Source organism: Homo sapiens, chromosome 20 (genome assembly GCF_000001405.40).
Source record: "Homo sapiens chromosome 20, GRCh38.p14 Primary Assembly".
Classification (NCBI taxonomy): Eukaryota; Metazoa; Chordata; class Mammalia; order Primates; family Hominidae; genus Homo; species Homo sapiens.
Genome location: NC_000020.11, coordinates 41,486,505 through 41,509,765, shown reverse-complemented (window position 1 = coordinate 41,509,765; position 23,261 = coordinate 41,486,505). Strand labels below are relative to the sequence as shown.

The 23,261-nt window shown below is 39.0% G+C and overlaps 1 protein-coding gene across 14 annotated transcripts in view; it reads left to right on the top strand.

The window, feature by feature from the left end:
- The window catches only part of CHD6 (chromodomain helicase DNA binding protein 6), a 216,295-nt gene that overhangs the window by 108,612 nt on the left and 84,422 nt on the right, over nt 1-23,261 (top strand). For 12 of the 14 annotated variants that reach the window (NM_032221.5, XM_047440549.1, XM_047440545.1 and 9 more), the window contains 9 exons: nt 10,409-10,471; nt 11,540-11,598; nt 12,265-12,382; nt 15,822-15,908; nt 16,094-16,228; nt 17,947-18,068; nt 19,745-19,988; nt 21,162-21,338; nt 21,958-22,101. In NM_032221.5, the coding sequence (NP_115597.3) occupies nt 10,409-10,471; nt 11,540-11,598; nt 12,265-12,382; nt 15,822-15,908; nt 16,094-16,228; nt 17,947-18,068; nt 19,745-19,988; nt 21,162-21,338; nt 21,958-22,101 (1,149 nt within the window). The remainder of the gene's footprint in view (nt 1-10,408; nt 10,472-11,539; nt 11,599-12,264; nt 12,383-15,821; nt 15,909-16,093; nt 16,229-17,946; nt 18,069-19,744; nt 19,989-21,161; nt 21,339-21,957; nt 22,102-23,261) is intronic. The other 2 variants (XM_047440550.1, XM_017028101.2) reach the window with 1 other exon arrangement.

Here is a 23,261-nt window from a genome sequence, read left to right as displayed (position 1 = left end):
TGTCTGGAACACAAACTTTTAGAATTCTGCAGTGCCTTTACAATGTAAAGACTGTTGACAAGCCTGTCTCAGTTTTTGCCTCCTGCAGTTTGGGTGGTTTGTGTGATTTTGCCTTTTGGAACAGAAGGACTTGAATTTGAATAAGGCTTTGGCTCGTGGTGCTCTCCTGTGCTGTGCTCTGTGTCTGCGTACAGTGTACTCTTCTTTGATAGGCCTTTTTCTATACCTGGCAGGCTGAGCTCAGTTGTTTCCTCCTCCCGAAAGTTCCTTGCTCCTCCGAGCTGGGGATAAGTGCCCCTCCCCTTTGCTCTTAGGGCACTCTAATATGTTTAACTGTCATTGTCCTTCGAACACCTGCCAAGTTTTTTGTTTCCTTCTTCTAAACCATGAGTTATGTTAGTGTAGGATTTGTATCTTTTTTTGTCCTATGTGCCTCTCAGGTAGGAGAGTTTCAATAAACTAAAATTTACATTTACTCCCAGGAACTATTCAGATGAAGTGGCACTTTCCATCTTCTGTTTGATAATGTTTTTCACTATTATAATTATTATTCCCTAAGTCTAGATTGAGCTGGGATCGTTGCACCACTTATTCATAGCCTGTGATGGTCCTGATTTTCAGTGCCTCTGCCATACTGTTTTGATGATCACTCCTGATTGTTCCCCTAATCAGATTGCAGAGTTTTGCAAAAACAGGCATCACTTTTTAATTTATTGTAATTTTTGCTTAGCATAGGTAGAACTGTATGTTTCTGTTGGTTAGTAGCTAGTATAAAGACCTAATTAGTTGAACTTATCAAATAACTTATTCAGTGAGTGAATAAATATGTTTAAAACTCATTATATAAACTGGTATGATTTGTTTAAGCCTCTGTATTAGAAAGGAAAGAGATTTTTCTTTTCTCCCAGGCTTTTGTTTCCTCCATTTCCTTATACTGGCATTTTTTCCTCACTGGTATTCATCTCTGTCTCACTTAAACCCTCAGAAAGGGCTCCTTTCTGAGACTCCTTGCTGCTATTTGACATTGCCGTAGCTTCGTGCCAGCATGTGAGACTCGGTGCAGAAGTGTCTGTTGGGGCCGTTCATCATAAGGCTTCTGTCAGCTCAGCCTGGGTGGGTAATTTCTTGAGTCTTCCCATTTCTTCACTGGGTACAACCACCAATTCCCACACTGTCTTTAGGTTGTTTCCTGTATTTGTTTCCTCTTGGTTTCTGCTGCCACCCCCTGTGCTGAGCCCAGTGTACAGTTTACTGCAGCACACACTTCTGTAGTTTCCCTGCCACAAGTCTCTGCTCTCCCCAGTCGGATACCAGGATAACTTTCCCAAAATACCAGGGGAATTGCTGGTATTTCTCAGTCTCCTGCTCACGAAATCCAAGATGGTTACTTTTTAACTCCCGTGTTAGATCAAAACTCCTGTGTTTTGTGTGTTTTTTTTTAAAGATGTGGCTACACACTACCTGTTTACTCTGATTACTACTCCTCATTTTGTGTAATGCTTTCTCTCTAATAAGGCAGGTTACTTAGCATTCTAAATATGCATCATACATCCTATATGATTGTTCTTTCATCTCTCATTTCATCTTACCTTTCTCTTTGCTGTCCTCTTTTATGAGCCACTGTTCTTTAGGGCCCAACTAAAACCTCACCTATGCTGTGAAATCCATGCTGTTTTCACTTTCTGAATTCTCATTGGACTGTAGTTACTGTTTAACCAATTAGCATTTACCTTGGGATATTTCTAAGACAGATATGTTTATTTTGTCTTCCCTGAATGAGTGTAATCCCCTTGAAACTGGGCATCAAGCTTGATACTGGTTTTGTATATTCCATGGCACTTGGTAAATACTGTGGTTTGAAACATGATTTGTTTCTTGTTAGGCTCCCTCCTTATGGTTTGCTAAATAGAAGTAAAAGAGGTAGTTGGCTGAGGTTGAAGGTAAATAGGGTTAAAAGTTTTTGAAATTTTTCCCTAAGGATAAAATATTAAGATTATATAAATCTCTGACATAAAAAGAGTATGAATTAAAATGGTCTTCTTTGAAGGATAATTTAAGGAAATTCCAAGCAGTTGAGAACAGATGGTTGTTATGGAAGTGTGTCTGGCAAGCAGATTTAGTTTATATCTGTGTGTATCTGTATACACTGAGTGTTTATACACACATGATCGTACTTACGCACAATCTCTGTTCAGGAAAAAAAAGATCCTGATTTTCCAGCTCCCTTCCTACTTCGATGTGTATTTCAGAAAGGCTGCTCCCTTTTCGTTTCATTAGGATAAAATAAAAACCCGTTTTCCATATTTGGATGATCACTACTGATTCTTTAACATGAGTGCTTACCCTCTTTTTTAACAGTGCCAAAAAAAAAAAAAATTGAAATTTTACTTCAAACTCCTTAATTTTCACTTGAAAATTTCCTATGATGAAGAGTGTTTAAACCCTGACTTCTTTTAGTATTCAAAGTCCTGTGCTTTCTTCATCCATGTATTAAAGTTTCTTTAGATTTGGTCCTAGTTAAATATTCTGAATTGTAATCAAAATCCTATCATCAGAAACCATTTTTATCTATTCTTCATGGTAGGTAAAAATAAGAAAATATTTGAAGCAGTCTAGTAGTAAAGAAGAGAACTTTGTTCCTTTGAGTGTATGTACATGTGTGGATGCTTGCTTGCTAGTCTGAGATATACAGACTTAGGAGCAGGTGGGGAAAGTAGTCAGCAGTCATGAAAGTTTACTGCTTGCCTACAGATGTAACTCATACGTCATATCATTTCCAGAGCCTCTTCTAATTCACCCAAGTGCTCTGGCTTCTGTGTTCTCATAGTACTTGCTTTTTACTTCTATTATCATATTCTATTGCAAAATCTCCTAACATTATTTATTCAGAAGTATTTATTGAGCACCTACTATATGCCAAGGACTATCTAATTTCTGGAAATAACACCAAGGAACAAAAGGGACAGAAATTCCTGCCCTCGTGGAAGAGCTTGCAACAAATTCACAACTGGTCTCTCCCTCCAGTGTTTGCCAGATTTTGAACCTACACGGCATGGGAGGTCAAAGGACCAAGGTCAAAACTTCTAAAGAGTAGAAGTAAATAGAGAGAGGCTGTTAATAAACCTTAAATAAGAAAATTACCTAGTACATCAATGGCAGTAAGTGCCATTCTAAAAATATATTAGAATAAGGGTGATATGGAATTCAGGGTGAGGATTGCAGTTTTAAATAGGGTGGTCAGAGTTGCCTTCACTAAAAGTATAATATTTGAGCAAATAATTGAAGGAGGTAAAGGAGAGAGGGAGTTGTGCAGGGCAGAAGAACATCTTAGACAGAGGGAATAGTCTATACAAAGTCCTGAGGTAGAGGCATGCTTGGTATGCATGAAGAATGGACAAGGATAACTGAAACATAACAGATGAGGTGGGAGGGTGGGCAGGAACCCTGTAGGATTTGTAGACATTGGAAGATGTTTAGTTTTACTTTGAGTTAAAAGAGAAGCGTTTTAAGCAGTGTAAGCGGAGCATAATAAAAAGGGTCATTCTGAATGTTAGGTTGTGAATAGACTAGTGGGGCAAGAACTGAAGCAGGGAGACAAATTAGGAGACTCTTGAGAATAATCTGGGTGAGAAATGAAGGTGGTACAGATCAGGTTAGAAGCAATGGAGATGGTGAGAAATAGATTGGGTTTTGGACATACTTTGAAGATAGAGCCAACAAGATTTCTAGGCCAGTCAGATATGGTGTATGGAAAGGAAAGAGAAGAGTTAGGATTACACCAAGATTTTTGGTTTGAGTATCTGAAAGGATAATTTACTCTAACTCAGGTGGGAGAAGACTGTAGGTAGGAGGGGTAGGAAAGGGGGATTGGATAGGAGTTTAGTGAGTGGATATTTTAAATTCGAAATACCTCTGAGATACTCAAGTGGAGATGGCATATAGGAATTATGTATATGAGGCTATTGCCAGGGGAGAGGTTCTGAGCTGGATGATGCCTGTATTTAAAACCCTGAGACTGAGTGAGATCACCAAGAGAATGAATACAGATAGAAAAGAGAAGAAATCCAAAAACTAGGCCCTAGACTGCTCCGGTAATAAGAGTTAATATTGGAAAAAATATATATATAAATTACAAAAAGCTCTTTTTAAAGGCATCAAATAGCTATGGAAACAACAAGAATTAGATGAACTAAAATATCAGACAGTAAGAGTCATCCGGAGGTGGGCTGACGATGGCTGGCTGTTTTCTTCTCTGGAGGCATTTCTCAGTTCTGGGAGTGGGCCGAGGATCAGGTTTGGCCCAAACAAAAGAGACTGTTCTGGATAGAAGAGAAACCATCTGACCCTGGTGGGGATTGAATATACAGGGCTCGTGGAGTGTTTGGAAACTAAAGAAATCCCCAAAGCAAGGGGATTTCCTCAAGAGACTTCTGCTGAATTCTGGGGTATCCCAGGAAGCTAGGAGTTCAGACAGAAGGCAGATTGAAATTTCATAGTTGCGTGGTACTTACGAGACAAAAAAATCACTAAAGGAATGGACCTACCACAAAATACTGACTCTTGCTTAAGATATTTGTCGGACTTTTAACCTGCATGGGGTAGAAGACTAAAATACTAAGCTCAAAACCTCCATAGAGCATGTTTCAGGGCTCAAGAGAAAAAAGACCTGCCAATCTCTCAGTCAGTGACCCTGGATACTCATGTTCCAAAAACAGTAAAATAAGAGGTGGATTGAATCTTAAAACAGTAACTCAGTCCTGACCCAACTCAGTCTCTGACTGGATCAAAGGGACCACCCCCTCGCCCTGGTTGTCTAAGAGAAAATGGGAAATACTTGTAGTAGAAAATATTGTTTGGAGCTGCTACAATTTGTTTATCCACAGTGTCCAACATAAAATAAAAAAAATTAGACATTCAAAGAGGCTGGAAAAGGTGGCTAAAAATTAAGAGAATAATCATATAATAGAAGCAGACCCTAGGTGATCCAGATATTAGAGTTGGCAGGAGGAAAGAACTTTAAAATAACTATGATTAAAATGTTAAAGAAAATAGAGGGCGCCAGCACAGTGGCTCGTGCCTATAATGCCAGCACTTTTGGAGACCAAGGCTGGAGTATTGCTTTGAGCTTAGAATTTCGAGGCCAACCTGGGCAACATGGCAAAACCCCTTCTCTACAAAAAATACAAAAATTAGCTGGGTGTGGTGGCTTGTGCCTGTAGTCCCAGCTACTTGCAAGCCTGAGGCTGGAGAATCATTTGAGCCTGGGAAGTGGAGGTTTTAGTGAGGTGAGATCGTTCCACTGCACTTTCCAGCCTGGGTGACAGAGTGAGATCCTGTCTAAAAAAAAAAAAAAAAAAAAAAAGAAAATAGAGGAAAAGATGGACAAGATGAATTTTAAAATGAAGACTTCCAACAGAGAATTACATCTATAAAGAAAATCAGATAGCAGTGTAGAATGAAAAATCCAGTTTATAAAATTCAAGACCAAGTGGATAGGTTTATAAGTAGATTAGATGCAGCAGAAGAGGAGTGACTATGAAGACAGATCAATGGAAAATTTCTGAAGCACATAGAGGAAAAAGAATGAATCAAACAGAGCAAAAGGTAAAAGCATAAGAAAGAGAGACAAGTGCGATGCAGTTAAAAGTTGTAATGTATTTCTTTTTTTTTTTTTTTTTTTTTTTTTTTGAGACAGAGTCTCACTCTATCACCCAAGCTGGAGTACAGTGGCGCAATCTCAGCTCACTGCAACCTCTGCCTCCTGGGCTCAAGCAATTCTCTTTCCTCAGCCTCCCAAGTAGATGTGATTACAGGTGTGCGCCACTATGCCCAGCTAATTTTTGTATTTTTAGTAGAGATGGGGCTTCACCGTGTTGGCCAGGCTGGTCTCAAACTCCTGACCTCAGTTGATCCACCCACTTCGGCCTCCTAAAGTGTTGGGATTACAGGCGTGAGCCACTGCACCCAGCCGAAAGTTCAAAGTATTTCTGATTGGAGTGCTAGGGATAGAGGAGATTGGAGCAGAGTAGCATTTGACGATATAACTAATGACCAAAAATTCCTAAACTGATGGAAGATATCAACCAGTAGATTCAAAATCAGATAACTCTAAAGCAGGAAAAATGCAAAAAAGAAAACCATACCTAGGCATATCTTAAACTATATAAACAAAGACTGAGAGAACATTTAAAAGCCACAAGAGAAAATCTGGTGGATAATATTGTATTAAGTAGTACAATATTGAATGCATTCTCCTGAATTTGAGAGTAAGAAAAATATTTCACTGTCATAATTTGTACTCAGAAATACAATGTAGGACCTGGCCACTACAATAAAGAGAAAGAATAAATAAAAAGTTAAAAGATTAGAAAGGGAGTAGTAAAACTTTTTTATTAGTTGTAGATGATGTGACTGCATATGTAGAAAATTGAACAGAATGTACTAACAAATCATTAGAAATAATAAATGTAGGTTTAGTTAAGTTGCTGGATATATAAAGATAATATGCAATATGGATACATAAAGACAATATGCAAATACGTATTTTTTATTTCTATAAACTAGCGACATAACATCAGGAAAGGATAATTATTAAATCCCATTTATAATAGCATCAACCTATCAGATACCCTGGAATAACTCAAAAAATACACAAGCCGTCTATGCTAAAAACATAGCTATGAAAAAGAAGACCTAAACAAATAGATGTAGCACATATGGGTTTTGTTTTGTTTTGCTTTGCTTTGTTTTGTTTTGTTTTTGAGATGGAGTCTCACTCTGTCGCCCAGGCTGGAGTGCAGTGGCATGGTCTCGCTCACTGCAACCTCCACCTCCCAGGTTCAAGTGATTCTCCTGTCTCAGCCTCCCAAATAGCTGGGACTATAGGCGTGCACCACCACGCCACGCTAATTTTTGTATTTTTAGTAGAGACAGGGTTTCGCTGTATTGGCCAGGCTGGTCCCGAGTTCCTGACCTCAAGTGACCCACCTGCCTCGACCTCCCAAAGTGCTGGGATAATAGGCATGAGCCACCGTGCCCAGCCACATATGGTTATTTAATACTGCTAAGATGTCTATAATTCAAACCCAGTCAAAAACTAAGCAGGGCATTTTTTAATTGGTGGAAATTCATATGAAAATGCTAAAGACCTATCTAACATAACCTGAGACAGTCATGAAAAAGAACTAAATTGGAAGATTTAACTGTAAGACTTTGTAATCAAGCTGTAGGAGTGAAGACAGGGTAGTATTGCCATAAGGATAGTCAAATAGACCAGCTGAACAAAATATAACTACCTTGTCCAGTATGGACCCTATCAGCCACATGTGCCTATTGAGCACTTGAAATGTAGCTAGTTTGAATTAAGATGTGCTATAAATATAAAATACCATATTTTGAAGACTTGGTATGAAATGACTATTAACATATTTTTTAATTTTTTAATTGATTACATATTGATAATTTAGATATATTGGTTTAAGTGAAATATATTAAAATTACTTGCACCTGTTTTACTTTTTTAATGTGGCTACTAGAAAATTTTAAATTACATATGTAGCTTAATGATGTTGGTGGCAATACAAATTTCTTAAACAGCACACAAAAATACTATTCATAAAAGAAAAGATTGATAAAATGGATTATATAGAATTTCTGTTCAGAAGACACATTAAGGGATTGAAAAGGCAAACCATAGACTGGTAGAAAATGTTTGTAATCTGTGTATCTGAGAGAGGACTCTTATTTAAAATAATTCTTGAAAATAAATTAGAAAGAACAATTTATAAAATAGGCAAATGACTTGAATAGGAGGTTCACAAAAGAGGATATCCAAATGTCCAGTAAGCATATGAAAAGGGGCACAGCATCCTCTGTTATCAGGAAAATGTGAATTAAAGAGACAACATTACACATCCACCAGAATGGCTAACATGCTAAAGACTGACATTATCAAGTCACCCAGAACTCCCATACCTTGCTGGTAGGTGTCAAAATTTTTACAATCACTGAGAAAATTTTTGACAATATTATTTATTTATTTATTGACAATATTTATTAAAATTAGACATCTACCTACCCCATAACCCAGTATTTCTTCTCCTAGTTATATATCCAAGATAAATGAGCATATTTTTCCACCAAAAGACATAATTTATATGGATTTCTTGTGTAATACAAAAATTGGAAGCAAACCAAATATTCCTCAACAGTAGAGTGGATAGTTTATATTACAAAATACTTCACAGTGTTAAAAAAGAATGAACTACATACTGTATGATTCCATTTACATGAGGTTTAATAATACACAAAACCAGTCTACGGTGGTAGAAGTCTGAATATTGGTTACTTACAGTGAGGGCACAGGATTTTTCAGAGTGTTGGAAAAATTATATAAACTTGATCTTGAGTGGTAGTTATATAGGTGCATTTCTGTATGTAAAAATTCGTCAAGATGTACACTTCAGATTTCTGCATACTACAAGTATGCCATACCTCAGTAACTAAGCATTTTGTTAGCATGCCTGATAGTTCCTTCATGATTAAGACTAGACATATCTCATTTACTTCTGTAAGGCCAGTGCATAAACTAAAAGCACTCCATAAATAATGTGGGATAAAAATTTAGGAAGGAAATGAGGTAGGAAGCTGGTTCATTAGTCTAGTTTCTCTTAACCTAGCACCTGTTCACTGCCCACTCGCCATAGTCAGACTTTAGTTAGTTGGCTGCAAGATCAGTGGTAGTGGTCCTTGCTGCTCATTAATGCACACCTAGCTTTGGCCCTTTGCTGTTACCGTCCTGACAGTATGTAAGTCTGAGTGTATGGAGATGGGGGAGACTTCTTAAATTAAGTGACATAAATCAAGAAAAATAGCTGTCTCTACTCTGTGGCCTCAGAGAGTTTGACCCTTTATTTCCTCACTGTATTTCCTTCTTTCTTTTCCTCTTGCTTGTTATTTAGCATTCAAAAAATACCTATTGATTATGCATTTCCTGGTCTAGCTATGTCGGTATATAAAACAAGGATCCCTGCCCTCTGAAGGTTTATGTAGTAAAGGGAGAAGACAGCAATAAACAGTGAACTGCCACCTTCTCCCTGCCACCTATCTATATTTAGGAACCAAGCAGAGCAAATACTTAAACAGAGAAACAAAAGCATAGTCTGTATTCACACCCCTTTCTTCTATTGTATGGTAATTATAGTTTACTTGCCTTCCTGTTGAGTGGTGAGAAGGGACGTGTGTGGTTTTGGATTAACTTCTGTATGGCATCTAGCACAATGCCATGTGTCTGAGAGAGCTTAGTAAATATTTGTAACCTTTGGGAACATCTGCCTGTGCCTGCTTGCTGATTTCCATAATTCTTTTCTGCCATATGCCTTCCTCATTTCTTTTAACCCATCATCACTTTCCTGGGAAAAGCTTGATTTAAGATCTTAAGAGATATTTTCTATAATTTTATGGCTTTACACCCTAGAATGGGTAGACTGAAGATATACAAATCATCCTTCTGGGACGTTCCAGCCAGGAACCCAGAATACCGAATTTGGCAGTTTCATTGTTGTGATGAGTGTTCTTTTCATATGGTGTTTTAAGTCTCATATTGTAATAGATCTGAAAAGGTCATTGTGCATATGAACCACTGAGAAATAATGCTGCTTGAGGTTCTAGAAAGAATGTTAAACATTTTGTGTTTTTAACTATAAATACTCTGTAGAAAGAGATTTCATGGAGATTGGAGGATAGAAGTGTTGATGGTTATCTAGGGTAAAAAGGAATTTAGGTTTTCAGTTGGGATTTACGTTCAAAGGATGATCAGTGAAACAGCCTTTTCCAGCTACAAAGGGGAAAGATGGTACAATTTAATAGAGAATAATTATACCTTGATTTTGAATAGTATGTGAAAACATTTTTCCAATAGTAATACTATTTTATCTTCCCACTAATTCAGTGAGATATGTATTTTTAACTCCTATTTTAATATATTTGGAGACTAGGAGGTATTAATTGACTTGCCTAAAGTCAATAGCTGGTAGATATTAGAACTAATTTTAAGACCCCATACTCTTAGAGCTTTCTGAAAATTGTATGCAGCAACATGTAGGTAGTTTTGCAAAGAAGGTAAATCTGAGGACCAATTTTAGGTATGTTAAATGCAGATCTGAAATTGCATCTGAAAAACTTCTCTGCTCTTGTAGAGTTGTGTCCAGAGCTTAGAAGCCACCACTTTAAATTCTAGCTTTGCAAAATGCTTGTGACCTTTTGACCACTCTGTGGCCTGATGGGAGGCCTTGGTACTCAAAGGTGAACTTTTGAATGAAGTAGTACCCATTGTAGTATTTCTTACAGAATTGTTTTCTTGGATTCTGTGGTTCCAGCAATTTTCTTTTTTTTTTATCTTTGTCCCCAGGAGCCTCCAGAAGATGATGCAAACATCATTGAGAAGATCCTGGCATCTAAGACTGTCCAGGAGGTTGGTGGCTCATGTTTCTAGCTTTTATATCATTAGCACAGATTACATCTTCTGTGAAGAGATTTTTGGCTAGAGAACCTAGAATGACCATTATTGGCTGGAGTGAGAGCTAGGCAAGAATATTGTCTGGCTAGCCAACACTTATTTTTACCCCTGTAGAGCATTTTAGGACATAAAACTCTTAAAATATCTAGAATGGCTCAAGCTGATGATTTCCTCCATTGTGATCCTAGCAAAAGCCATATATCCCTTAGTTGCTGTAGCCCACCACAATTTAGCAGAGGGCCAAGAAGAAGAGATGGACAAAAAGTCCTAATAGAGGCCAGGTTCATTGGCTCATACCTATAATCCCATCACTTTGAGAGGCCAACATCGGAGGTTCACTTGAGCCCAGTAGTTCAAGACCAACCTGGGCAATATAGTGAGACCCTTTCTCTATTTAAAATACACACACACACACACACACACACACACACACACACATACATACATACATACATACATACATACATACACACATACACACCCATATGAGTCCTAATGGAAACGTGGGGGTTTTTTTCTTCAGACATCTCAGGGCCATTGTAGGAATCTCCTATAGGAAATTCTTGGAGTGCTAGAGTATGTTGGTGCTGGTGAGAGCACGGCTTCATCTTTACTTCAAGAATTTATGAAAGTAAACTTCCTTACTTGGAGAGTGACTACCATTGGTGTTTCAGAAGTGAAGCGTTAGTGGGGTGCCAGAGATGAATGTAGTCACTTCCACACCAGGCTCTGGTCCTGACATTTCTCATTGTCCTGGGCCAGTTTGGGTTTATCAGCTGAGTGCCGTCCCAGCCTAGACCTTGGAAGGACATCAGGAAGATCAGTTTTTTACCTTGCAGCTGTGTATTCCACCTTTGGAAAACCTGACCAATAGGTGTCAGGAAAAGGCCTGGGAAAATGAAAATATGCCTTAAGAAATCTTTATGGAAATCAGGCAGAGATATTGATTACCTGTTTTCTTTTGGCTCAGTAAGGGTGATCTGCCTGGGATCTGGGCTGATAACTGCTTGCTGTTTGTTACAGGTTCACCCAGGAGAACCTCCGTTCGACTTGGAGCTGTTCTACGTTAAGTATAGAAATTTGTACGTCTATTTAAAGTATTCTCTGTATTTGGGTTTTATATGAATAAAACTTTTTTTCTCTTGTGACTTTATTATCTTCTACATCTTCAGAGTCTTGCCTCTAAGGCATGACCCACAGGTCTTGGCTGACTCAAGTTTACCTTAGGCAGTAACGCTCAATTATAGCTGCACACAGAATTACCTGGAGAGCTTTTTTAAACCTCTAAAGCCTTTGCTCCACCCAAGACCATTGGCTCAGACTCAGTGGGGCCCAAGGATTGTTGTGTTTTTAAAAACTCCTTGGGCAATTCTCATATGCAACCAGGGTAGAGAACCACTCTCCTGTAGCATATGCTCTTTTCCCCTCTTGTATATTTTCCTTTCTGCTACAGACCCACTTTCACTAATGTGTGTTAATGATAACCTGCCCACAGCTGCCCTGCCTCTGTTCTCAGCCAGTTTCTCTAGAAGCTGCAGAGAGATCAGTTGCTTGGAATTACTCCGTTTTGTTTTGTTTTCTGTTGTTGCCCTTAAGGGGAAGGTCTTTCTAAGCCCAATCTCCAGCAGTTTCACAATAAACCATTTTACTATTTCTGTGTTAGGTGGTCACCGTGTTTATTGAACACCTTAAAGCTCGATCATTTGCTAGTTATGTGCTTGCCTGACAATTTGTATGTCTTTGGATAGTTCCTACTTACATTGTAAATGGGCCACAATGGAAGAGCTCGAAAAGGATCCTCGCATCGCACAGAAGATCAAGCGATTTAGGAATAAACAAGCCCAGATGAAGCACATTTTTACGGAGGTGAAGCAATATTTACTGACTCATTTGACTGCTGCTTTTCTTGCAGCAGTAAATACTGTGTTTACGTTTCTAAGTCCAAGTTAAATTCCTATACAGATCTGTTGCTCAAGTCAAATTGATAAATGTGTGCTGATTTGCAACAAAACTAGTCTAGATTCAAGTCAAAGAAAACTATCCACCAAAGTTAAGGATCAAACCTTATAAACTGACAACTCATAACGGCGTGCATCTTGGTCTGAATACTAATAAATAGCTAGAGTGAGAGGAATACGCACACAATTCTTTTGTCCCTGCTCCCTCAACCCACTGCAACCCAAAAAGGACATTTCAGAAGGTCCTAAAGTTTGAATGTAAAAAACAAAACAAATCTAAAAGTGAGAGAAAGTAAACAAATAAATAATTTTATTTATGTAAACTTGGGAATTTCTAAGTATTGTACCTATAGCAAGAGGAAGGACTGATGGATTTTAATATTAAACAAATCTATAATGCTATATATCAGAAAATGCCACAAACCTTAACCTTAATGTGTTATTCTTGGAATAAAGACTAAACCCTGTAATAGAGCCTACACAGCCCTTTGTGTCTGTTTTCTGATCTATTCCCAAAGTAGTGGTTTTTCCTTGGCCGAGAATAGAGGAAACTGTGCTGGGATATATAGAAATAATGCAACAAGAGTTCATATTCTTGTGGGAAGGAAAGGCTCTTGAGAAGATTGGAACACATGAAATTAAGGAGGAATAATACTGACGAGTAGTTCAACACTGCCTTTGGTCTTGACCTATTCAACATATTTGTTAGTAACTTGGGTAAATATTTTTGTGATACAAATAGTAACTTAGTTTTGAATAGAGCTTTGTATCCATTATTTCCAGCTGCTTTATGAGGTAGCTAAAGCACACGTGGAGGAAACTCAGGCTCCAAGAGCCTGCAACTTCCCACATGCGCAGAGATAGACTCCTGATGAAATCCTAACTCCTGAACACCCAGGAGACGTTCTAACCAGATCCAATACTGAGAGAATAAATGTCAGGATCAGCCTGGGTTTGCCTGGACAGGGTAGGATGAATAAATGTAGGAATAAATGTAATATCCTACATTGTTCTTGGAATCTTTCTGGTTCTGAAATGAGGAAAATGACTGGGTAGCAGTTCTAGGGAGAAAACATATTGCCAGTTCAATTAACTACACATTTACTGCGTGTCAAGAGTAGGACATGGCTGTTTAAAAAGTAAACGAATCCTACTAATCCTAGACTGCACCAATAGAACAGTCCTGCTGTACCATGCCCTTTTCATTCCTAAATGCTATGTTCATTTGGGTACCAGGATTCAGTGAGGGACTTTGCAAAACCTGAGGGCAGCTGCAAGAGGACTGTCATGGTGGGAATGGGGCATAGGTGGAGAGCGGACTGCACAATGGTAAGAGCCTGGGCTCTGCAGTCAAACTGCCCCTCCCAGCCCAGCCTCACACACACCTGGGTGGCCTCAGGCCATGGCATAAGCTCTTTCAAACTCAGTATCATAGGAAAAAGCAGGACTCCTGATAGAATCAGCCTCACAGAATACCTGCAAGGATTAGATGATAGTTTTCTTGCCGTTTTAAGCTTTATTGGAGTATAATTGTCAAAAAATTATATTTAAGGTGTACAACTTGATGTTTTAACGTATGTTTACATTGTGAAATAACCACTATAGTCAAGCTAGTGAGCATATCCATCACCTCACATAAGTAGGGGGTTTTTTTTCTTTCTTTTTTCCCCCCTAAGGGTGAGAACACTTAAGATTTATCCTCTTAGCAAATTTCAAATATATAATACAGTAGTTTAACTGTCATCACCATGCTATGCATTAGGTCTCCAGAACTTATTCATCCTGCGTAACTGAAATTTTATACCCTTTGACCAATGTCTTCCCCATTTCCCCTCCCCTTCATCCCTGGCAACCACCATTTACTCTCTGCTTCTATGAGTTTGATTATTTTATATTCCACATATAAGTGAGATCATACAATATTTGTCTTTGTGTGTCAGGCTTATTTTACTTTGTATAACATCCTCCAGGTTCATCCATGTTGTTGCAAATGATGGGATTTCTTTCTTTTTTAAAGCTGAATGATATTCTATTGTCTAGGTATATACACCCCACTTTCTTTATCCATTCATCCCTTGATGGACACTTAGCTTGTTTCCGTAATCTTGACTATTGTGAATAATAAAGGACACAATGTTTATAGCAGTGTTTAGCTCATAGGCACTACTCCATAAGTATTAGCTTTTCGTATCATTAAGATGGAAACGGTATATGAAGAACTGTTGAACAAACTGGGTTTTTTTTTTTTAACCCAGATAGGGAGGGGATTGCTGAAGAGCCTAAAGAGAGAGGAAAGAATCCTCTTATTGCTGCTGTAAAGGAAGCAGTTCATGCCAATGAGCAACAGTTATAAGGAAGGAAGTTAAGTTATAATTTACTAATGATAAAGATCATGATGCTACTCCTAAAGAGGTAGAGATAAAGCTGTTTCGACAGTGAATCAGGTCTTGAAGGGTAGTAAATTTCTTAGTTGGGAATAATTGAATCTGAGAGGCTTGCCAGGGATGTTGTAAAAAGTATCCTGCATTGATTAGACGATGAAATTAGCCCCAAAAGTGCCTTGCAGCCTAAGTGGCAGTAAGAGCTCTTCAGCACTCCTGGAGGAGGGCTTCAGCTTCTGGGTAAGAAAGACCTGGGTGAACGGTCCAGTTAACATAGCTCCGTCAACTTGGTCACATTACTTAATATCTCTGAGTCAGTTTCCTAATCTGTAAGGTAATTATAGTACCTACTCCGTAAGGTAGTTTTGGAGCTTAAATGAAAGTACTTAGCATTACTCTGGACATACCTTAAGTATTTCTATATGTTGCTTCTTGTTGTTTTGTAGTAAACTTTTTTTGAAGCATAGTGTGCATAAAGATAAAAGTATACATCTCAATGAATTTTTACAATGTAAACACATTTGTGTAACTACTACCTAGATCAGCAAATAGAACATTGTCAGCACCCAGGAAGCTTCCCTCATGCCCCCTGCCAGTGTTAACTATTGTTGTTATTAAGAAAAAGAAACTGTAATTCCTAGTTGCCAAGGGCTGTGTTTGAAATAAGGACCAGTAAGGAAAAGGGAACCCTTCTGCTGATTTTTGTACATTGCTATAATGACCAACAGGGAATTATTACCTGGCTAGGGTGTAGCCACTAAGATGGTTAGATCCTTTAAATTTAGTCATGGAGAGCAGGATTTGGAGACAGTGAATAAATGCCGTGACTTTTATTCTTAAGCAAACCCTTTCTTTTTGTGTTTGTTGATAGGGCCTAGAGTAGGGATCACTTAGAGATAACACCCTAGGTGTTGGATTTGAGGCAAGGGGACATACTTCCTAACTGTTCTCCTCTGTTTGTGTTAGCCTGATGAAGACTTGTTCAATCCAGACTATGTAGAAGTTGATCGCATCTTGGAGGTGGCCCACACCAAGGATGCAGAAACAGGGGAGGTGGGTATTTGCCTCTCCTGAAGCATCTTCCCTTCTTTCCACGTATTTCACTTGTTTTAACATGTGACCCTTGTCTTAGTGGTATTCCTGTCTAGTCACGTAGGGTGGTTTTTCAGAGGTTGGCAGATACTACTGACTCCTTTAACCTAATAGAACATTAAGTTTCTTTCCTGTTTTCCCACCAGGAGGTAACACATTACCTGGTGAAGTGGTGCTCACTACCATATGAAGAAAGCACGTGGGAGCTAGAGGAAGATGTAGATCCTGCAAAAGTTAAAGAATTTGAATCTCTTCAAGTTCTCCCTGAAATTAAGCATGTGGTAAAGTAGTTTTGTCTCTCTCTGGCACTTCTCGGAACATGTAATTTTATGAACTTTGCAATCATGGAAGTCCACCTGGCTTGTTCCTAGGTGGTTTCTGTGGTATTTTACCTTTGTTACTTCTCATTGAACCCTCAATTCAGTGTTTTCCACCCCAGATCGAACTTTCCCAGCGCCCTTGTCACCTTTAGGTCTCAGGTCTATTTTGATGTATGTGACATTTAAGAAGCTTTGATATTGGCTTAGATTTCTTGGTGTGCGGCTGTTGTATGGAGTCAGTAAAATAAAATTTGTAAGTAATGGCTGGTGTGCAAGAGAAGCTCAGTAGTATCTTTCCTGTTTCTTATCTCTTCATCAGCTACCTCTTTTCTTTGATTTTCCCTTCTTCACTCAACTGGAATATTATTAAGTGGAAGAACTGTCCTTTATCTGCAGATCCCTGTGACTCCCACAGAGAGAACATAGGTTTTTGATAAACATTATTGAATTTATTTGTTTTTCTGATTCTGGATTATTACCACTCAACTGCCAAGATCTCCCAGGGCGCCTGAGAAGTATATAGATTATCCAACAATTAAAAGGAGGGGAGTTGGGATCAGAGCTTTTATTTATTTTTTTATTTTGAGATGGAGTCTTGGTCTGTTGCTGGAGTGCAGTGGCACAATCTCAGCTCACTGCAACCTCCATCTCCCGAGTTCAAGCAATTCTCCTGCCTTGGACTCCTGAGTAGCTAGGAATACAAGCGTGTGCCACCACGCCTGGCTAATTTTTGTATGTTTTTAGCAGAGATGGTGTTTCACCATGTTAAGCTCGTCTTGAACTCCTGACTTCAGGTGATCCGCCTGTCTTGGCCTCCCAAAGTGCTGGGATTACTTTGGCGTGAGCCACCACACCCAGCCCAGAGCTTTATTAAGGTGTAACTAACTTGAAAAGAGAATCAGTTGTTAAAGAATATGGCTATAGGCTGGAATGATCAGTTTCTGTTTAAAAAAACATTGCCATTTTTATATGAAAAACTGTTATCCAGTTCCTTATTAATATTATTTCTTGCTTTTACATCACTGGAAGGTTGATACTCGGAACATTAAACTTAGGTCCCTGTAGGAGTCCATTCAAGAGCAGTGTTTTGTTTTTGTTTTCTTTGGCATATGAAAGGTAGATAGAGGTGTCTCGAGATGCAGAACTGTGATTAGAAACTTACATAGTTAATAGTGTTTTGTTTGCATGGTTGATTATTATTCTTTCAACCCTCTCCCATAAATACTGTTTTCTGCTTTTAATTCAACTTGTCAGTCATCTATTAAGCATTTGCTGTAGGTTGATTCTTGTGTGAGATATGGTAAGAAACAAGGTACAGGCCCTGCCCTCAGGAGCTCACAGTCTAATGGAAGAAGCATGTGTGTGCATGGATAAATAAATACAGCACCAGGCTAATTGTGGTGTGTGGTGTAATGCAGTGACGGACCAGATAGAAAGCAGGGAGAGTTTCATTCTGAAGCTAATTGTAAGTTATTATCTAGAAGCAATCAGGATTCCTAACCATTCTCTCAGCCTGACTCCTACTTAGTTCCCCCAACCTATACGTTACTCAGAAGGTAATAACTATAGTTTGAAACCAGCCTTGGGACAGTGAGATTTACCACTGTCCTCGTTAGTATCCATGTTATGCTCCTAAAACATCATTCTCTATCTATTATGCTGTTTGCTTTCCTCCCTAGGAGCGGCCTGCTTCAGACTCCTGGCAGAAACTTGAGAAGTCTCGCGAGTATAAGAACAGTAACCAGCTCCGGGAGTACCAGCTGGAAGGGATGAACTGGCTTCTTTTTAACTGGTATAACAGGTAAGGAACCAAAACCAGCCCAGATGTTTGTACCCAGAGGTATATTATTGCCTTAGCCTGGAACACCTAGAGTCGCAGTAGCAGACTGGTGAGAGGGAGCAGCATGGCCATCAATTTAGGGTGGTAGTCTTTGCACATTAATCATCCAAGACTTACTTTATTTTTGTCAGCTGTTTCTCCAACCAAAAGGAATGATCTTTAGACATCACTGACTTTGTGCCTTTTTTTTTTGGCCAGCCACACCAAAAGGGTGGGCTCAATCTAGATGAAACAAAATCCAGAATATCCTTTAAAGCTGTTTTCTATTTCTAAATCCTTAACCAAAAAAACAAAAAACAAAACAAAACAAAACCAAAAAATATATATATATATTTATAGGAATATATATATATATATATGGGAATATACAGCTATACAAAAACTTTTAAATATTTTAAAACTTCTTGACTCTTTGTAATAACACTTAAGAGTCAAAAAGTTTTTTAAAAAATTGGAAGTTCATCAGTAAAAAAGTTACAGTAAGCTAGGGTTAATTTATTATTGAAGAAAAAATATTTTTAAATAAATTGAGTGTAGCCTTAGTGTACAGTATTTATAATGTCTACAGTGGTGTGCGGTAATGTCCTCGGCCTTCACATCACCCACCACTCACTCACTCACTCACCCAGAGCAACTTCCAGTCCTATAAGCTCCATTCATGGTAAGTCCCCTGTATAGGTATACCTTTTTTGTTTTTGTTTTTTAATGTTTATTTTTTAGTTCTAGGGTACATGTGCCAGATATGCAGGTTTGTTACATAGGTAAATGTGTGCCATGGTGGTTTGCTGCACCTGTCAACCTATCACCTAGGTATACCATTTTATTTTTTTATTTTTTATTTTTGTTGAGACAGAGCCTCGCTCTGTCACCCATGCTGGAGTGCAATGGTGTGATCTCAGCTCTCTGCAACCTCCGCCTCCTGGGTTCAAACGATTCTTCTGCCTCTGCCTCCCTAGTAGCTGGGATTACAGGCACTTGCCACCTCGCCCTGCTAGTTTTTGTATTTTTAATAGAGATGGGGTTTCACCATGTTGGCCAGGTTCGTCTCGAACTCCTGACCTCAGGTGATCTGCCCGCGTTGGCCTCCCAAAATGTTGGGATTACAGGTGTGAGCCACCGCGCCTGGCCAGGTATACCACTTTTAATCTATATTTTGCTCTATTTTTACTTTGCCTTTTCTGTGTTTAGACATGTTTAGATACACAAATACTTACTATGGTGTTACAATTGCCTACGGTATTCACTGCAATGACATGCTGTATAGGCTTATAGCCTAGAAGCCATAGGCTATATACCACATAGCCTAGGTATGTAGTAGGCTATACCATCTAGGTTTAGTAGGTACACTCTATGATGTTCCCACAATGAAACAGTCACGCAGTGATGCGTTTCTCGGAGTGTGACCCCATCCTTAAGTGACACATGACTGTATTTTCTCCCAAATTAGCATGGTTCTGTTTTGGAAGTAGGCAAAGTAGGAATAATAATAATAACTAACCTCAGTTTAATATGTGAAATGATGATAAAGCCTTCAATGATAATCTTACAGGTATGTGAAGCATCTTTTCAAGTTATAACCAGCCTCTATAAGTTTCCTATATTGATAATGAATTACCTATATTTCTCACTCTCTGCAGAAAAAACTGTATTTTGGCTGATGAGATGGGCCTAGGGAAAACCATCCAGTCCATCACATTCCTTTCAGAAATATTTCTGAGAGGAATCCACGGCCCTTTTCTCATTATCGCCCCTCTCTCCACCATCACTAACTGGGAGCGGGAGTTCCGGACATGGACAGAGATGAATGCCATTGTGTACCACGGCAGCCAGATCAGCAGGCAGATGATCCAGCAGTATGAAATGGTGTACAGAGACGCCCAGGTGAGCCTCACGTGAGATCAGAGACCCAGGGACTGCCTAAGCTCAGAACAGCCTTTCTGTCACTTATCTTCAGAAGTTCCAGTGCCCTGCATCTTGTATTAATGTGGAATGACTTTGTAATATGTTTGTCAAGGCTGACTCCTGCTCTCCCTGGTAGCTCGTTTTAATTTATGATACAACACAGGATTGTAGGGCATGCTGTCTAAACTCTGAGATATACCTTTTTTAGGACACTGAAAGTTTGACTTACTTATTGGTTTATGAAGTTACTTTTATATGCAGAAGATTTTATCTGAATTGTTATGTGTTCAGTGAAGAAAGTGAGCAAAAGAATTACTATACAGAGAATGGATTCCCAGCCAGGGAGTTTGGAGAGGAGGTTAACAGATTTGACAGAGAAGGATAAAGAGAAAATAGGTTTCAAATCATTAGAAACCCAACAGCAACATTTTCTCTTTAAGTTTTTAAGTGCTGTCACTTAGCTGAATATAGTTGTGTGTTTGTCCTGCACATTGGTTTTTATAATTAAGGTAAAAATTAAACGATTTCAATCAGAGGAAAGCCAGTGGTCTCTCCAGAGGTTTCAAAAACAGCAGAGACACTTGGAAGACATTTAAGAAGTGCTCTAACATGATGCAGCTCTGCTCTTGAAATGTGATGGCAACACCAAGACAGTCTGAAAAACAAAGCTGTGTCCTGCCTAGTAGCGCTTGTCTTAGGTGCATCAGAATCATTACCTTCAATCTGTGCTAGAACTCAAATTATAAGGTGAAATTAAGTCTGAAAAATAGCAGAGAGTTTCCTTTGGGCATTCAAACTATGCATGGTTTAGATGGACTCCTGGCTGGGGACTTGTGAACAACACCTATCTGATTTCCTTATCATGACAGCTAATAAATAAAAATGCTCCCTTGCTGTGCCTTCCATATTGCCCATCCTTCTCACCTTTGTGAGGGCAGATGTTGTCTCGCTTCTGTTTCATTGATGGTGTGAGGCCTTCTGGCTAACTAGCTCGTTAATTCTTATATTCTCTTTTCTCACATGAGGAAAAGCAGTGCTTGTCTTCTCACCTAGGCCCCAGCATCTGTAGTGCTGCCTCCTGTAGTCCAGCAGATATTAGCAGAATTCTATAGCCATGGTGTAAAGCTTTGACTTTGGTTGTGTCATCCTCAGGGAAACCCCCTTTCAGGAGTCTTCAAGTTCCACGTCGTCATCACAACATTTGAAATGATCCTAGCAGACTGCCCAGAGTTGAAGAAGATTCACTGGAGCTGTGTGATAATTGATGAAGCCCACAGACTGAAGAATAGGAACTGCAAACTTCTGGAGGGTCTAAAGCTTATGGCCCTGGTGAGAGTTAGCATCTCTTTACATAAACACAGGTTCCTTTTGTTCAGCTTGGAGGAAACACTCTTTAGCCATTCTGCATGTAACTTATTTCTGCCTAGTCGTTTTACATTAGATTTTCTTTTTTGGTCTCTATAACTGCAATAGTATAGGAATTAAGATTTTTTGGTTACAAACTGGGTCAACAATTTGACCTTTGCCACAGATTGATTTCCATAGACTTAGGAGGACTCTTAAATACCATGAAATATATGACTTGGAAATGTAAGGTGTTTTGGCTGGTTTCCAGGCCCCTAAATGAACTGGTACCAAAGATGATGCCCTTTTAACATTACTGCCTTGGCACAGTGCCCAGTATCTGGTGGGGAGGCACTCAATAATATTTAGTGAATGAGTGAATAGTTGCTTTAATTAACATGAACGTGCTGCTGGAATCAGTGATGTGAAAGGAAGGTTGATTCGTTTATTGACTGTACCCCTATGATGGCATATTATCTTTTCATTAAAGCAGATCAGAATTGCCCCAAATTGAGCACTCAATGCCCTGGCTTAATTTTCCCCACGAAAATGCACTATTTTGATGGCTCAAGCACTGTCCATCATGTATGTTTAATTTGCGCAGGAACATAAAGTGCTTCTCACTGGAACACCCTTGCAGAACTCTGTGGAGGAGCTCTTCAGTTTGTTAAATTTTCTGGAGCCATCACAGTTTCCTTCAGAGACCGCTTTCTTGGAGGAATTTGGAGATCTGAAAACAGAGGAGCAGGTAATTAGGGACCCAAAGAATTGAGGAGACAGTGTGATCGTTATCTTCATCAAGAAAAGAGCAGGATGCTATGGGGCCAGGATTTAGCAAGTTGTCACGTTCCTGGTAAAATGAGCGTTACCTCCTTTATTTTATGTGTTTGTGTATGTTGGGGCGGGTACGCTGATTATTAGCAGTTCTTATTGCCCCAGAGGATAGATGGGTCCATACCCAAAATATCTTATGCGCCCAAAATATTTTATGTTGGTGTATCGGGCCTCCTTGCTTCACTAATTTCACATATTGTGCGTTCGCTGATTTTGCTTACAGCTCTGGTCTCAGGAGCATGGTGCTTTCTTTTGCTTCCCTCATCCTTCATCCTTTTCCCTTCAAAATCTGCAACTTGTTCCCAGGCCCATCTTCTTGCATACAGCACAATACACAGGTAGTGAGGAAAAGAAGGCAGTCACATACCTGGAGTAGTTGATAAGTCCACTTTTGTCCAGATCAACTGCATTTCTGCAGTTTTCAAGGTCCAGTTCCAAGTCTACCTTGTTGGACTCAAAGCTAATAAAAAACAACTGATAGTAATAAATACTCTACTAGGGATTATAGAATCTCCACTAGGGATTATAGAAATAACCCAGACAAATGTACGTGCCATAAGAGGAACAAATAGTAGAGGTGGTCCTTCAAAGGAGAGACAGGTTACATCTATTTGAGAATTAGAAAAGACTCTAGGGAGAGAGTACAATTTGAAAATGCATCTTGAGGGATGGGCAGCTTTTAACAGGTGTGGAGAGAAGAGGTGGTAACCACTCTGCATAGAAAAAAAAAAACCCAGCATAATCAGAGTCATGGTAGTTATTCACTAGTGGGGAAACATCTGATTAAACTGAAAACAGAGTGGATGAATTGGAAAATATAAGCAGAAGTGTTTAGGGTTATATTGTGGGAAGATGTTGAAAGGTAGTTTGAAGAATTCAGTAGGTAACAGAGAAGCCATGCAAGACCTTATTACAGGAATGACATAATTAGCTCTGCCAAATTAATCCAGCAATGGTGTGTAAGTGGGTTGGGGCAAAGAATGAGGGGAATGAAAAGGTTTGGGAATTTTGCCCACATGTCAAGCGTACACCCTGGGGTTCCAATCTCTTTCTTCCTACTTCTGATGCAAGTCA